General features: G+C 34.1%; 1 long non-coding RNA gene across 1 annotated transcript in view; it reads right to left on the bottom strand.

Annotated features, from left to right (window-relative positions):
- Nucleotides 1-3,568: 3,568 nt before the first annotated feature.
- LRRK2-DT (LRRK2 divergent transcript) overlaps nucleotides 3,569-17,067 on the bottom strand; it is an 82,057-nt gene continuing 68,558 nt past the window's right edge. The window contains exons 7-9 of the long non-coding RNA NR_186757.1: nucleotides 13,832-13,946; nucleotides 5,838-6,107; nucleotides 3,569-4,437 (exon numbers count right to left, since the gene is read on the bottom strand). This is a non-coding gene — a long non-coding RNA (LRRK2 divergent transcript). The remainder of the gene's footprint in view (nucleotides 4,438-5,837; nucleotides 6,108-13,831; nucleotides 13,947-17,067) is intronic.

Here is a 17,067-nt window from a genome sequence, read left to right on the forward strand (position 1 = left end):
TCAATTCTGTTTGAATGGAGAGAAGGATGATTATTGGGAACAATGGGAATGGAGGGTGTAGTGGAAAGTGGGAAGCAAGTAGTATGAGGGTATTTAGGAATGTTTAAAGTTTCTGCTCCTTGTTTTCTTACTGATGGATTTTTAAGTAAAGGAGAAACATAATCAGATTCAAATACTAGAAAGATAACTCTAGTAGTGTAGAGAAGAGAATTGAGTGACAGGAAAACTCATTAGAGTCCATTGTGGTAAACTAGTTCTGGAGCTGAGGCACTGCATGGGGAGAGAGACTGGTCAGGGGTGGTGACCTTCACTGAGATCAAAAACACCCACCCATTGTGGGGAAGGTTGGGGAGGAAATAATGAGTTGGGTTTTGTAACTGTATTGAGATGTATTGTCCAATTATATGGGTTTAGTAGGAAGTTGGATACATGGGAAACAGCAATGCTTAAGAAGAGGGCATAAAGAAGGAAGGATGTGGAAAGAGGGGAAAACCTCGTGATATTTTGCCTTAAATGGTTAATTCTCTTAGTCAAGTTGGTGGCTATGTTTTGACCTGTCTGGTATTGTCAGGTACACATAGCCTTGGAATTTGAATTCTTGTGAAGAGAGAAGGAACAGTAGCAGCTGGTACCCCAATAAGAAACACAGTGAATGAGTTATCGGTTATTAAAGCTTTTGCTTAAAATACTCATAAAAACTTCTGTCTGATACTTGCAAAGAGCTATTAATAATCTTACCCATTAAAGACATACATTGTCATTTTTCCTTAATAAAAATGTATTCTCTGCCACAGCTGCTATTACCTTATCAACATCTGCCCGTGATTGATAGGAAAGTTTGTTTTTAAAATGAAACTAGGATAAAAAGTCTGTCATTTAATATACTTATATGCAATCTGTATCATGATGGATCAATGAATTTATTTTTAATATGAAATCTGGATGAAAATCTTTGGGTTATTAAAAAATTCAAATGTAAATATATTTTAAAAGACAGTCCTATAAATAACAATGTCAGGAATTTAGCAATAGGATTATTAGTTTATATGAAGTCTTTTGATAATGTTTTTTATTAAAACTATGGTTTTACTTTAATAATTGAAGATACTTTGTAGATATGATATACTTGAATTTTCCATTGACTTACTTATATAAAAGTCATTTGTTATGATAGTTACACAATGATATAAATGTACTTAATGCCATTGGACTCTATACTTAAAAATTTTTTAAATGGTAAATTTGTGTTATTTATATTTTACCTCACAAAAAAAAGTCATTTGCAACACGATTTAATATGCTTAGTCTGGACAATTTCTCTACTGTGAAAGTAAAACCTAAATAGTGAATTACATGCTTTGATGTTGCAATGAGAGGGCAGTTGTGCATTAAATAGCCTTTGGGTGCATCAGAGAAAGATCAGAGAAGAATAAATGTCCCAGCCCACCTCTATTACCCTCTGTTGGCATACCTTAAGAAAATAATTCTTTTAAATTATGTCAAAAAAACTGTAATTAATGAGGACACACTTTAAAAGAATGTAATTATTTTGTAAGTTAATCAAGGAGAATATGAAAGGAAGGACAGGATTTAACTCAGAGACTCACTTGATCCCTGTCCTTGGAAGCAGTCTCTCCTTGTTATCGTGGAGGGTAGCACGCTTGGCAAGAATATACATTTGACACACTTGAGATTTAAAAACTATAAACTTGTACTATGGGATTATAGTAGAATTCTAATTAGTAATATTAGCCAGTCATTTTTTGGCCTTTGATAAAGTTTGAGAGAATTTTCATCATTGCCCAAAGAAACTCTGTAACTACAGTCCCATTAGCAGGCAGTCCCCAAAACTGACAGTTCTTCAAAATTATCTGGAGCGTATTTTAATATGCATTGTCTCTCTTTTCACCCTAGATGGACCAAATCCGATTATTTGGGAATGGGGCCTCAGTTCTACATTTCAATAAAGTATTCTGAGTTAAATTAATGTGATCTATCTGTGAACTTTCATTTATGAAACACTGTGTTAGTTCTGTTTCCATGAGGCAAATATATACCTTCAAATTCACCTTGGTGGGCCTAATACAAGGCAGTTTATTCATTTATTCAAAAACATTTTATTGCATGCCTGTTTCACTTAAGTATATCATTGATGAAGTAGTTACAATTATTTGTGTTATTAAATCTCAACCCTTGAGAAAATGTTCTGCTAATATTCTGCGTGATAAAATGGAAAGTATGCATTAGGCACTTCTGCTGCTTACTCAACTATGATGGTTGTCTGGAAGAAAAGCATTTGTGCCAGTGAGTTGCAAATGAACTACACTTTTCTTCAGAAAACACCATTAAAAGAACGAACATTGACAAAGAAACCATGTCTATTCAGACTTGGATAATTGGCAAATATTTTCTCAAAAATGAGCAAAGTGAGTTTGATAATTCAAGGAAAACAACTGACCGCATTTGTTGTCAATGATAAAATTTGAGTTTTCAAGGAAGAGTTACATGTTGAAAAATGTGTGTCTACCAGAATGAACTTGATGCGTCCCAGTAGTTCAAACATTTTGATGATATTGGTGACATTAATAAATGTTCATTTTTGAAATTATAAAATGAAATGTGTCAGCATTTAGAAAATCTGCATAACCCAGTGGAATAATGTTTTCTAAATGACCAACACATGATGTTACAAAATCATCCACACTTTGTGTAAGATAAAACCAATGAATTTTAGTGTAACAGAGAATGAAAAGTTTATTGATGTTATTTTGGATTTCATGCTGCAACTACCCTTTAAGAAATAGTCACTTGTCAAATTTTGGTGTACTATCAAAGAAAAATATATACATTTATCTGAAACAGATATAAAAATGTCCTCTGTTTTCCAACCCAATATCTGCGAGATGTTGAGTATTTTCTGTACACATCAACCAAAATGACATGTTGCAGTTGATTGAATGCAGAAGTAAAAATATAATTAGTCTTCATACATAGGTTATTTATATTAACATGTAATGATCTATTATTGTTATATGTCAAACAGTTAATAAATTAAAACATGGGCTTTTATATTAGAAATACCAGGATCAAAATCGCTTGACATGACATTTGGCAATTTATTTAATCTCTCTGAGACTCAGTGTTTTCATTTGCACATGAGGAAAATATGAGCAAATCCATTAGGCTTTTTGTGCATTACTAGATAACACATGTAATAAGCATAACACCATTACAATGTAGCACATTACACTGGTGACATTATTTAAGTATTTCTTTTTTCCAAGAGTCTCTAAGTTTTACTCCAGCATGATGTTGAACATCGGAAATAGTGCCTGCACTATGTTGTTTCAGATGTATCTTGATTGTGTTATAACATATTACAATATATTTCTTTAACCTTTATAAAGATTATATAGCCCATATGTGCTAAGGAGAAGTGAAAAGGACAAAGTAATGTCTAATATGTGCAACTGATTTAACACAAGATCAAATCTCAAGATATGGGGGAATATAATTTAAAAACTTCACTGATTAAATAGTAAATCAATGATGGAGATGCAGGCGTTCATTTATTCATTCATTCACTTTTCAAGATGAATTTATTGAGTACATACTCTGAATCAGAACACTGCTAGGTCCTAGTAATCCAAAGGTGAGCAATACAATTTTTGTCTACACATAAGTTATGGTTGCTCAGTGGAAAATACAAATGCCAACAAACCAATGCAGTGTTATAAGTAGCATGCTACATAGGTCTAGAGTGAAGACAGAACCAAAGATAAGGTAGTTATTTTGTCTGTTGGTAATGAAGGGCAGTCTGACAAGATTCCCTAGGAAAGATGATATTGGGCTGATTCTGAAAACAGGATGTACTTGCCTAGTGGGTAATGGCAGTGGAGGTTGTCGGGGAGCTTTCCAGGGAGAGAGAAAAATATGAGCAAAGTCACAAAAGTGTGAAATAACATGGCATGTGTAAGGAGATGCTGGAAGTTCCACATGATTGGAAGAGGACTGAAAATAGGAATGTGGCAAGAAATAAGCTGTGGCCAGATCACAGAGAGCCCTTCCTATTCACAACTGAGTGAGTCACTGAGGGATAAAATAAAGGTTTGTACCTACTTGCTTACATTCCTCCAAATTCATCTAGGATATATTTCCATGAATTTTAACGCAGATTTCAAAAGTGTCTTTTAGATGAAATCTAGAAAATTCTTTAAAAATCCTTCAAAATAATTGAATATCTACTTCAAAAGATGCTCAGGTAGGGTGGGGGAAATTTCCAAGGACTGGATTTGATGTTTATCTTTGTGACTTCGGGTGCTTTTTATGGCAGTTTCATGATAAACATCTGCTTGAATCATCTTTGTTCTTATGAAATTTTGCTTATCCACCGGAGAAACACATACTGTTGGCCCAATTCCAAAACACAATTTCTTCCTAAGATTTTGAAAAAAGAACATAAGTTATTAAATGGCCAAGGTACTGAAAGCACATTAAAAATATCAGTGAAGGGCATGTCTAGGGTTGAGCATTTAGAAATACTTAGAAATTTCATACACAGTAGGACTAATGATTGCTGTAGTGATGGGGCCCTTAAATAATTTTTGAACACTGTTTTTGATCATATTTTCCATTGAACAAGAGGCTAATCTTTATAGCAAACAAAATAAAACAACAATAACAGCAGCAATAAAACAAACTATAGAAAAATAGATAATTCTGTATTATCCTTATACTTGAAAAGGTTTGCCAAAGCCTCAATGAAGTATATTTAAGTTGAGCTAAATATGCTTGGAAGGAAATCTCAATTACAGATGCCAAAAGTTAGAAAGAAGAAAAAGGAGTCATGAAAAAGGAAAAGACAAGTTGACATAAGGTGTCATTTTACATCTCTTTGAAACTATTCTTTTAGATCTGTTTTACTTTATCAGTGGCATACTGAGGTAAGAACTGGAAGCATCAAGTTTTCTTATTGTGGAGAAAAATCCCTTGAGAATACTGAATACCTAAGCAGAATGGTATCTGAAATAATAGGTTATAGATAGGCATACTGGGTCTCATATTCATCCACTCATCCATTTATTTATTCATTCATACATCTGGTTTAGGACATTTATGATGTATTTATTATGTGCCAGTTTCTGACTTGAGCAATTTGATATATCTTATGCTATTTTAAATGTTATTTTCTTTAAGGATCTATTAATATTTCATTCTTGTGTATAAAAATGAAATACCTAGTAATGGAACTAACAAAAGATGTATGTGACCTTTGCAAAGAAAACTGTAAAACATTTTGAAAGACAACTCCAAATAAAAACAGTAACACAGCATGGATTACAAATGGATTAAAAGATTCGACATACTAAAGATGTCAATTTTTCCCCAACTGGTACTTATACTCAGTGTAATTCCACTCAAAACCCGATGGATTTTCTTGTAAAGAATGTCAAGGTGATTCTAAGGATATAAAAGACCAAAGGTTTAAAAATAGGTAAGACTATAGCAAACTGTATGCCTTATCAAATATATATATATAATAATTAAATAATGAAGTATTCACTCAAGAATAAGCAACGTGACCTGTGAAACAGAATAAAGAGTCCAGAATCAAATCTACATATAATTGGAAACTTAATTTATGACACAGCTGATCTTGCTGATAACAGAAGATAGAAAGAAATTTTTAAATAGTGCTGAAATAACTGATCATGCATGTGAAAATGTCAAAACTGAAATGTTACCTTACATATATAATATATTATCTAATATATTTGGAGCAACAAGTCACTCCAAAAACTTAGGGCTCAAAACAATAATAAATATCTTTTTGACACCGTTTCTGTAGGTCAGAAATTCAGGAAGAGCTTCTCTGGCAGTTCTGTCTTGAGTTTCTAATGAGGTTGCAGTGGAGATGTCAGGTGCCACAGTCTTCTGAAGGCTTGACTGAGACTAGAGCATGCACTTCTCAGATGGCTTTTACCCACATGGCTGTTACCAGCCAGTTCCTCACTGCTTCTTGGCTCAGTTTCAGCTCCTAGCCACATGGATGGCTCCATAGTGCTGCTTGAATGTCCTCATGACACAGAAGTTGGCTTCCCTCATAGCTAGAAATAAAAAAGAGAGGACAGGTGGAAATTACAATGCCTTTTGTTATCTAGGCTCAGAGATCTAACACCATCATTTTTGCATATCTTATTTATTATACAGGTCAGCCTTATTCAGTAAGTGGGGATACCACAGACAAGGGTATGAATATCCGGGGCAGGGATTATTGGTGCCATCTTGGAAGCTGGTTATCACATAATTAATTATAGGTAGATGAGAGAATTCTATAACACTTTATAAGACAATCTATAAGAAAATCTTTATGATTTCAGAGCAAAGACTTCTCAAAGAAGCAAAATACTCAAATTACAAAGAAAAAGACTATTTAATTCAACTATATTAAGAATAAGTTCATCTATTTAACAACAAAACAGCATAAAGTAGGAATCAAATCACAAATACCATATTTGCAGCAAATATGATTTAAAATTGTTAATATCCAGACTATAGAAAGAAATTCAAACCAACACTAAAAAGATAAATGATACAAAAGAAAAATGAGCAAAAGCTTTAAGTTCCTAAAAGAAGAAAGAGGAATGGTCTATATTAAAAGACGGACAGTTTCATTAGTAACCAGGGAAATGCAAAGTAAAGCCAAACTGTGATACCATTAAACACCCATTTGATTTGCAAAACTTAAGAAATGTGAAACAAAACAAAACAAAACAAAAAGAAAAAGAGAAAAAAATTTTTAAATTAATTAATTAAAAAACATTCTGAGACTATGATGACGTGGAACAATGGAAAACCTTCCACATGGCCAGCATGAGTGTAAATGGTCCAACCGTTTTGAATCACAATTTGGCGTCATGTGCCATAGTTGAGTTTGTGCATATCCAATTATCCAGCAATTCCTCTTCTGGAGAAAATACTACATATGTTTGTAGAAACACTGTATTAACAAAAAACTAAAAATAACTCAAACAACCAACAAAAGAATGGACAAATTGTAGGATACAATGGAATATCATACAGCTGTGGAAGGGTGGGAGTAAGTCTGCAGGAATTTTTTTTTAATTTAGAGACGTTATAACATACTTAAATGCACATGAGAAGTAACCCATAAAGAGGGGGGAGGATAAAGACTCTAGGAGAGAGTAAAAAAATGAGTAGTGTGAGATTCCTGAAAGGCAAATGAAAAAGAATATGGAGACAAAGGAAAGGATTTCTTCATTACACATGATGCAGGAGGTAAGGATGGATATGCATTTATTCAGTAAATATTTACTATTATCCCTTCCATGCCAGGCTCTGTCGTTGCTACTAAGGATGCAAGTAGATTTGAAAATTGGGGACCGGGCATGGTGGCTCACGCCTGTAATCCCAGCACTTTGGGAGGACAAGGCAGGCAGATCACAAGGTGAGCAGATCGAGGCCATCCTGGCTAACAAGGTGAAACCCCGTCTCTACTAAAAATACAAAAAATTAGCTGGGCGTGGTGGCGGGCGCCTGTAGTCCCAGCTACTCCGGAGGCTGAGGCAGGAGAATGGTGTGAACCCGGGAGGCAGAGCTTGCAGTGAGCAGAGATGGCGCCACTGTACTCCAGCCTGGGAGACAAAGTGAGATTCCGTCTCAAACAAACAAACAAAAAAAAAAAAAAAAAAAAAAAGAAAAAGAAAAAGAAAAAAAAAGAAAAAAAGAAAAAAGAAAATTGGGTGATAGGAATATGATGGAATGTCTACTTAATGGCTCTCATGTTCCTTGTGAAGTAGGTGGTAAAGTCATCTCCTGGGGGTGAGGGGAAAGCTTGGGGCTTTAGGTTTAAGGAGAGTGAAGATTAAAAATTGTATACAGAACAGGAGAGCAAGTAGGGAAGGAAATAAAGCAGCACGGTTGGGCAGTGTTCAAAGCCTAGCTAAGGTTAGTGAATTTATGGACAGAATTCCCAGTTGTACCACTTTCTCCAGCTAGCTCAGTGCTAGCATATATATATATATATAAATATATATAAAATATATATAAATATATATAAATATATATAAAATATATATATAAATATATATATATAAATATATAAAATATATATATATATATAAATATATATATAAATATATATAAATATATATATAAATATATATATAAATATATATAAATATATATATAAATATATATAAATATATATATAAATATATATATATAAATATATATGAATATATATAAATGTATATATAAATACATATAAATATATATAAATATATATAAATATATATATAAATATATATAAATATATATAAGTATGTATATAAATATATAAATATATATAAGTATATATATAAATATATATATAAATATATATAAATATATATAAGTATATATATAAATATATATAAATATATATAAGTATATATATAAATATATATATAAATATATATATAAATATATATAAATATATATAAATATATATATAAATATATATATAAATATATATATAAATATATATATAAATATATATATAAATATATATATAAATATATATATATAAATATATATAAATATATACATATAAATATATATTTATATATATATATATTTTTTCCCCCCAGCAGGTTCAAACAAGAGGACAACATAGCAGAAAAATGTAGGACATGTAGGACACTGGCAAGAGGTTTTTTGAAATAACAGATAGCTGCCAGTGAGTTTGCTGATTAAAATCCTGGAGAGCCATGCGTGGTGGCGCATGCCTGTAGCTCCAGCTACTCTGGAGGCTCCCTTAAGATTGCAGTGAGCCATGACTGCACTCCAGCCTGGGCGACAGAGTGAGACCCCGTCTCTAAAAAAAAATTCTGAAGGAGAATGTATCATTTGAGTGTATCCAGGAATCAAGTAAAGTTATTACATATTTATTTGATGAGAAATACAAGTGTTTAAAACCACAAGTAAAGAGGAGTTAATGTCCTGTTGGAAGGAAACTGACCGATGAGAGACCCGAGATCGAAAGGGTCCTGCAGATATATTTTTCTGCCTTTCTCCCCCAGCTGCTTGGAGATGCAAAAACTTCCACCTGTCCTGTGATACTGAGCTATCTTTTCTTGTGAAACTATGGCCAGTTCCGTAATGCACCATCTCCTATTTTCTTTTCTTCCTTCCCTGCTTCACTTTGCTCTTTACCTCATTCTTGCTTCCCTGGGCTTTCACTTCCTGATAAAACAGCACTGCAGACCTTTTGGTTAGGCTCTGTCTTTTAGGGTACTTGGGGGAAGACAAAGTGAATTTCTCTGCTGAATTTGGAGTTCTTAGAAGTCAACTCATGGAGGGAAGGACAGGGAAGTGGTGAGATAGAAGTGGGAAGATAAATAAGGAACCAAAGAGACAGTAGGAGGCCTGGGTCAATCTGCGGTGAGGTAGCAGCGAGAAATCCCTGGCAGTGCATGGGATGACTGAAGGGTTTTTAGTAACTAGGATGTCTATTATTCAATTTAAGATAATCATGTTGCTTCATGGTAAAGTCCCTCCTATCCCTTTCCTCCCCCTAAATTTGGTAAATTATATTACATACATATAGGCTTTATTCGATTTTCTATTTTGAGGGAGAACAATAAATGACTGAACTTCACATGTGAGTTAACACGGCATGAAATAGAAAGGATATTTCCAGGTGGAAAGATGATCCATTAGCTTAACTAGTTCAAAGGGCAAACAAAAGCCAGAAGAACCAAGACAATATAAGACCTAGAAAACTTGAGAAGAATGTTACACCGACATAGGCATGGAATGGGATGATGGGAGAAAATTTGTTATGCATTAACGGATCTGGAGGTCCCATATGACATACGGGCAGCTTTCCTTACTAGAGGGTACTTCTGCAATTTTATTGATTTTTAGCTGTCTTTGTTTATGCACATATATTCATTTACGTGCTGAAGTCTTTTTAAAGTACATTTATTTTCTTTAATCAATAAGGATTTATGCAATAATATATTGATATTATAATTGAATTATTATGGATGCTACTTCCAGATATGAGATTTTGCTGCTAAGACTGTATTAGGACATTGCTATTTGAGACAATTTATTCAGTCCTGTGCACAGTTGTATAAGGCATGCCAAAAACTGTTCATGCCAATTTTTATGTTCACAAGGCAATAGATAGGGGTGTCCCTGCAGATGTGTCAGCTCCTATAGGTACTGTGGCATTTTATTTTAAATACAGTAAAAAAAACCTTTGTCTACTAAAAAGAGTATACCATAAATATTGGAAAAATTATTTATTGTTTGATAGAAATTTCTACTTTTCAATTTATTAAGTAACCAATAATTTTCAGGAATAAAACCATATACATGGAATAGAAGGAGAAAAAAATGACAAAATCATTCTAAAGCATTTCATAATTCATAATTTATGCATGTCAGTTGAGCTCACAGGTATCTGGCATTTCCTAAATCAAAATGACAGTGAAACTCCCCGCCCTTTGTAGCCTGGTATCAAAATACTTCACATAAAAATGAATTATGAGCAATGTAGCATAACTATACATATTCCTTTTGCAAATAGTTTATGTGAAACAAATATATTTCATTTTTTATGGTTTGATTGAGAAAACATGCCTTAGTGATATTGAATGGTCTGAGGTCACGGACTCAAGCAAATTAAATGTCAGTCTAAACTGTTATATGTATTTACAAAATTATGTCATTTAGCAATGTGGTTTACTCCTATTGGTGGGTAGGAACATACCTTTTAATTTTTCATTAGGAATATGACAGTATTACTCAACTTTTAAAAAATCCCTTTTGTAAAGTGACTTTTGATAAAATAGGAGTGCTATACCTTCCTTTAGTTATTTAGCAAAAAAACACTTCAGTGAAATTGGGAGGAACCTAGATCCTGGAATCAGACGTATTTGGGTTTGAATTATGAGCACTTACCAGATATGTGATCTTACACTTCTGTATTTGAGTTTCCCCATCTTTTAAATGCAGATACTAAGAATAGCTACTGCAAAGTATTATTGTGACAAGTTAATGTTATAATTCTTTTACATGCCTAGTATATTGCTCAGAGTATCATATATGCCTATTACTATTATCATTATTCACTTTCAAAGAAAATTAAGTACATTGATCAAAAATCATTATAATTTTAATTTTTTCACACTGCATATTCTCCCATGAACTCTGACACTCCCCTACTCTCCCTTTCTACCCCATATCCCCTCTTGCCACCTCAAGAATTATTAGACTATATACTTAAGATATTGAATCACATTCTGAACATCAATCTCTTATGATACTAATCTATGACCTTAGGACCCATACACAATTACCTTGTTTTTCCAAAGTTTGTTTCTTTAAATAGTATGTATGGATGAGCTTTTGGCTAATCCTGAAACATGCTGTTTAGAATAAGTAGTCTGAATTCCATTCATCTTTTTGCATACTAACTCTTGAACCTGAAATATGCTCTTCCACACCTAAGCATAATATAATGAACAAGCACTGGCTGGCATTTTATGCCACATATAATTACAATAATGGACCATCCAATTTATAAAGAAAAAAATATGTCCTTCTGTTCCTCCCAAGGGGTTAGATTACTGTGTTGAATGTTACACAACAGACAGAAGTGGCTTAGCCAAATATGAGCTCATTTTCCCCATGTACAAGAAGTCTAGGGGTAGGCAGACCAAAGATGATGCATTAGAGATGGTGCTAACAGAACTCATCAGACCAGGCTCCTTCTCCCTTCCTTCTCTGCCATTCTAGTGTCTTTTATCCTCTTGGTTGTAGGATGGCTGCCCCACCTCCAGATGTCATTTGCATGTCTCATATGGGAGGAGGAGAGCAGGATGAAGGGCAAAGGTGAATTTTATTGCGAAAACAATGACATTCCCACAAGCTTCCTACAGGAAGTTTCCTCCTGCATCTTGTAAGTCTAGATTACATGGGGGCAATTCTACCTTAAAAAGAGTCTATGGAGGAGAATTTTTAACTGGACACAGTGCTGTCCTTAAAATTTGTGGAATGAAGAAGAGATGAAATATTAGGCAGATAATCAGCAGTGTCTGCCACATGGATCAAGACATTTTTGCTTGATTTATAGAGAATGATACTGCAACATCATTATGCTACCAAAGTACACCAGCATCAGCTTAATAGGGAAACATCCTTTACTAATATAAAACATAATACCAAAAATATTCAGTTAATAAAAGGAAGTAAAGTTCAAGATTTTTAGTAAGTCTCAACAGAAGACTCAAATAAACTCTGTAGTACTATATATTAGTGTTAGAGACTTCAGTAGGAATCCCTATTATCTATTAATATCTACTAATCATCTATCTAACCACTTATCATCTATATATATATTGAGAGACAGAGAAATAATTATAGATGTGATTATATACATATATATGTATTATTAGCATACATACATGTGTTTCCTACTTCAGTTTGCTGGGAGAGCCTAGAAGCAATGACACCCTATAGCAATGAGCACACTAAGTCTCTAGATCTTGCTTTCTAAATATCAGTCACCAATAGAAACAATCAATCAGAGCTCCTTGAAGGAATTATTGATTCTAGGGCTGGGATCGGGTAAATACTAGATGAACCTGGATCATCTTTTAGTGCCAGAAGTGCTCAAAAGCAAGCAAGCAAGAAAACAAACAAACAACAAACACCCCCCACCCCCTAAAAAATGAAGGCATGTCAAAAGGTCACAGTAACAAACCTGAAAGAAACCACTATGGCCAAAGCTGGAATAATTTGGGCAGTGAAATAAATAATGTGGTAGTGAATTATAATCCAAAGTTTAAAACACCACACGAGTCTGTGCTGGTACAAAGAAATCATTGAACAAATAAATAAATGGGAGACAATTGGCAAATTTTCCTTCCAGAAAATTTCAAATAACATATGCAGATATTCTCTCCTCTCCCTTCCACCTTGAGTGTGGGCTGAACTCAGTGATGCTCTCCCAAAGAATAGTGAAAGGAAAAATAGCAACTTTCTAGTGGAAAAGCACAACCTTAACCTAGTGGTCAAGGTTCTCATCACCAGTGATAAGTTATGTTGATGCTATATACCCCTGCCTGATATGAAAACCCATAACTCCAGTCTAATCATGAGAAAAACATTCTTAGTGTATAACTTTTATCTTCTTGGTTAAAATTGAACTTGCTAACATTCTACAAAATAGATATTCCTTAAAACTGTGAAGGTCATGAGAAATAGGAAAATACTGAGAAACTTTCACAGAGAAGAGAAGACTAAGGAGACATGACGGCTAAATGCAATATGATATTCTGCATGGGAATCTGGGATAGAAGAACATCAGTGGAGAAACTAGTGAAATCTACATAAAATTTGGAGTTTAGTTAATAGGGATGTACCAGTATAAGTCTGTTAGTTTTGCCAAATGTAGCAGAATAATGTAAGATGTTAACATGAGGAGACACTGATTGAAGGTATAAAAAAATTCTTTACACTATCTTTGCAACTTTTCTGTAAATCTCAAATTGTTGCAAAATTAAAAGTTTTTAAAAAAACTTCCACATAGTTAAAACTGGAAGGGATAATAGCCGGTTCGTAAAGCTTTACAATAACAGTGTGAACTTATGACTAATGGTCTCCAAAGCATCTCAGAGTGGATCAATACAAACTGTTTAAGCTAGGTACAGTTATTATATCAATACTAGTCTGGTTCAGGCTCCAGATCCTAAGGAAACAGAAGTCCACGTGTAAAGAGATATTTAATTTGAACTTTTCACTAAACGGTACTTACGTATGAGATTTCTGGATAATTGTAACCTTTGCAAGGTCAAGTGAAAGCTGCCAGCAGTTGAAATTAATCTACTGTTTTCTTCAAAATCAGGATATTCACAGTTAGGAACCTATGCCTGCAAAAGGAATTTTGGTCAATTCTATGTCATTTTTCCTCACAAAATCATAGAATTACCTTGAGAAATTCCAACTAAAAAATTGTTTCTACTTAAGAACTACATTTGTAGAGCAACAGTGTTGGCAACCAGCTAACATCACTGTGGGATATCAGAATTTTAATCTTGCTTTCCCATTCATTCTTTCAACGACCTTGAAAAACTTATTTAATATGTTCCTTGGCCACTATATGAGGTTGATTAAATTCTGTAGATTAAAAAAAAAGAACAATTATATAATCATCAAAAAGCTACTTGAAATAAAAGTGTTAACATACATATTGTGGAAGGACATTATACCACTTTGTGGAAGTCATACAGATATTTATTTTTTCTCTAGTTTTCTATTTATTAAGAGCAAAGTTGAATAGAAGTAACGAAAAAGTCATTCTTGCTGAGAAACAGAACAAATTGAAGTGATGAATGAAGGTTAATCTTCAAAGATATCCCCTACAGAAAACACTCCAAATATTTTTTCTTGTAGAGAGACTTCCTCCAGAAACCCAACATGAACTTAAACATCCTAAGTTGCAGTTCCATAACAACCGTTAAACTTCAACTTTTAAAAACCTTCAAGAAATGAATAGTCTTGACTCTGCCAACTTAGAAATTAAGAGAAATCTCTTCAAAATATATCAGCATCCTTTTCTTCAGTCTCTGATCTTGAGTTAACTTTTGGGAGGCTTTTGAGGCCCCTGTCATCGAGGAATGCAAGCATGTATAATTCAAAAGAGCCTTGTAATTGTACAGGGACATTCAGGATTAATTATGCATGTTGCCACCTCGCAGAGGTCCACAAGGGGGCACTCTTTTGCTGAACTTTTCTATACATTTCAAGGTAAAAACAGACTATGATAATAGGAATTTGGTCTATATATATTTATTTGTTTCTCATGGTTCTTTCAATTGTATCCTAGTCAGTTTCCTCCTTTGCTATCTTTTTTCAGGTGATTCTTTTTTATTGTGATAAAATATACATAACGTAAAATTTACTGTTTTAAAGTGTACAGTTCAGTGGCATTAAGTACATTGACATTCTTTTGTAACCGTCATCACCATCCAGCTCCAGAACTTTTTCATTTTCCCAAACTGAAACTCTATACCCATTAAAAAATAACTCCCCATTTTCTCCTCCCCCAACCCCCAGCAACAACCATTCCACTTTCTGTGTCTATGAATTTGACTCTAGGTACTTTATATAAGTGGAATTATAAAGTTTCAATTGACATAATTTTTCAAAGTTCATCCCTGTTGTTCCAGATGATTCTCAAATGAACTTTTCAACAATTTTACTAAGTACCCAAAGTTTTAGGAAAAACTAGGCTAAAAGAAGCTGATATTATTGGCACTTCTATATATGTACCTGCTCTTTATTGGTCTTTTCTTCCTCATTTGTCCACATTCCTCAACTTCCTAACTGACTCACCATTGTTTAGTGAGTCAAATTCAACCAACCACCTTTTTTACTTAATTCATCACAAAAATTCCTGTCTTTCTTACCATGGGCTTCAATTCTCATTTAAATGACTGTTCATCTAACATTTGCAGTTGAACATAGTAGTAGCAACTCTATTTATTTATTTAAGACATGGTCTCCCTTTGTTGCTCAGGCTGGAGAGCAGTGGCACCATCTCAGTTCACTGCAGCCTTGACCTCACAGGCTCAAGCGATGATCCTTTCATCTCAGCCTCCTGAGTAGTTGAGACTACAGGCATGAGCCACCACGCCCAGCTTGGTAGCAACTTTTATACAAGGTCACAGCACCGAAAAGCAAAGATAACTGAGTATAAAGTACTTCCTGATCCAGTACTAATGAAGATGGGTGGGGGCAGAGGGTGGTGGCACTGCCTGGATTAAGTTTGTTTTAAAGTTCTCTCACATGATACTATATCCTCTTAGCCAAAAATTGTAAATTTCCTTTTTATTTTTATTTTTGTAGAGATGGGGGGTCTCTCTATTTTGCCCAGGCTAGTTTCAAACTCCGGGGCTCCAGGTATCCTCCTGCCTTGGCCTCCCAAAATGCTGGGATTACAGATGTGAGCCACCATGACTGGCCTGTAAATTTCTTCATATGGCCAGAGAAAGAAATATCAACTGGGAATATTTTAACCAGCTTCACATACTTTAAGCACTATATGGTCTTTGTTAATATCATTTTCCTCTTCTATATTGATGATGTTTGAAAACAAAGTGAACAGGCAATTAATCAAACAAAAAGACCTACAATGCCTTTCAGGGTCCACTGTGCTATCAAGTAAATAAATATTTTTGGAATAGCAGATTATTACACTGTAATGAGTTTAGCCTGAGAATACCATAGCCATTTAGAGTAGTTGGGGCTACAGGTATGAGCTGCTGCGCCCATCTTAGTAGCAACTTTTATAGAAGGTCACAGATAACGCCAAAACGCTAGCATCTGCTAGTGTGCACTGTATGCATGAGAGTCAGAGAAATTATTCCAGAAGAAAGACGAAAGGGGTGAAAGCTCTATTTAACTGCTCCCATTGCTTGATCCAGACACTTCTGACAGTCTGTTTTTACAGACATGGCAAAACAACACTTGGAAGTCATTTGAGAAAATATTCCTGGTATCACAGAGGTAGGCAAAAGGACAATTGATATCTGTTGAATATTTATGTTCATATTGATTAACTCTTTGAGGTTGCAGAAAGAATGAGTCTTCCTCCTCACTAGGCAAAGAGAAGACTGTTACAGAAGAGAGCATCTGACATGCAAAGCATAACACCGATAAGCGTGGCCAGGCCCAAGAGCAAGACTCAAACTTATTCTTTTTCTTAAAGAATCTAACCGCAGCCATGTTTTTCATTGTTATTTTAAGTGTGGGAGGGAACCCCTGCCTTGTTCTTTTTGAAAATCCTGATGCTTTGATAAAATAGTTTCTAAAATATTTCCTATCTACCTGCCCTGCTCTGTTCTGGCTATAATTACTAGGCTAGCCAAAAATAAACTCTCCCAAGTGTTACATCTAGTTGATTGTTGATTTCCTAGAGGGGGAAAAAATAAACTGTAGTAATTAATCATGGAAGCTTCTCTTTAAAAGAATGTTTACGTCATGGCTCAA

The sequence above is a fragment of the Homo sapiens genome, chromosome 12, assembly GCF_000001405.40.
Source record: "Homo sapiens chromosome 12, GRCh38.p14 Primary Assembly".
Classification (NCBI taxonomy): Eukaryota; Metazoa; Chordata; class Mammalia; order Primates; family Hominidae; genus Homo; species Homo sapiens.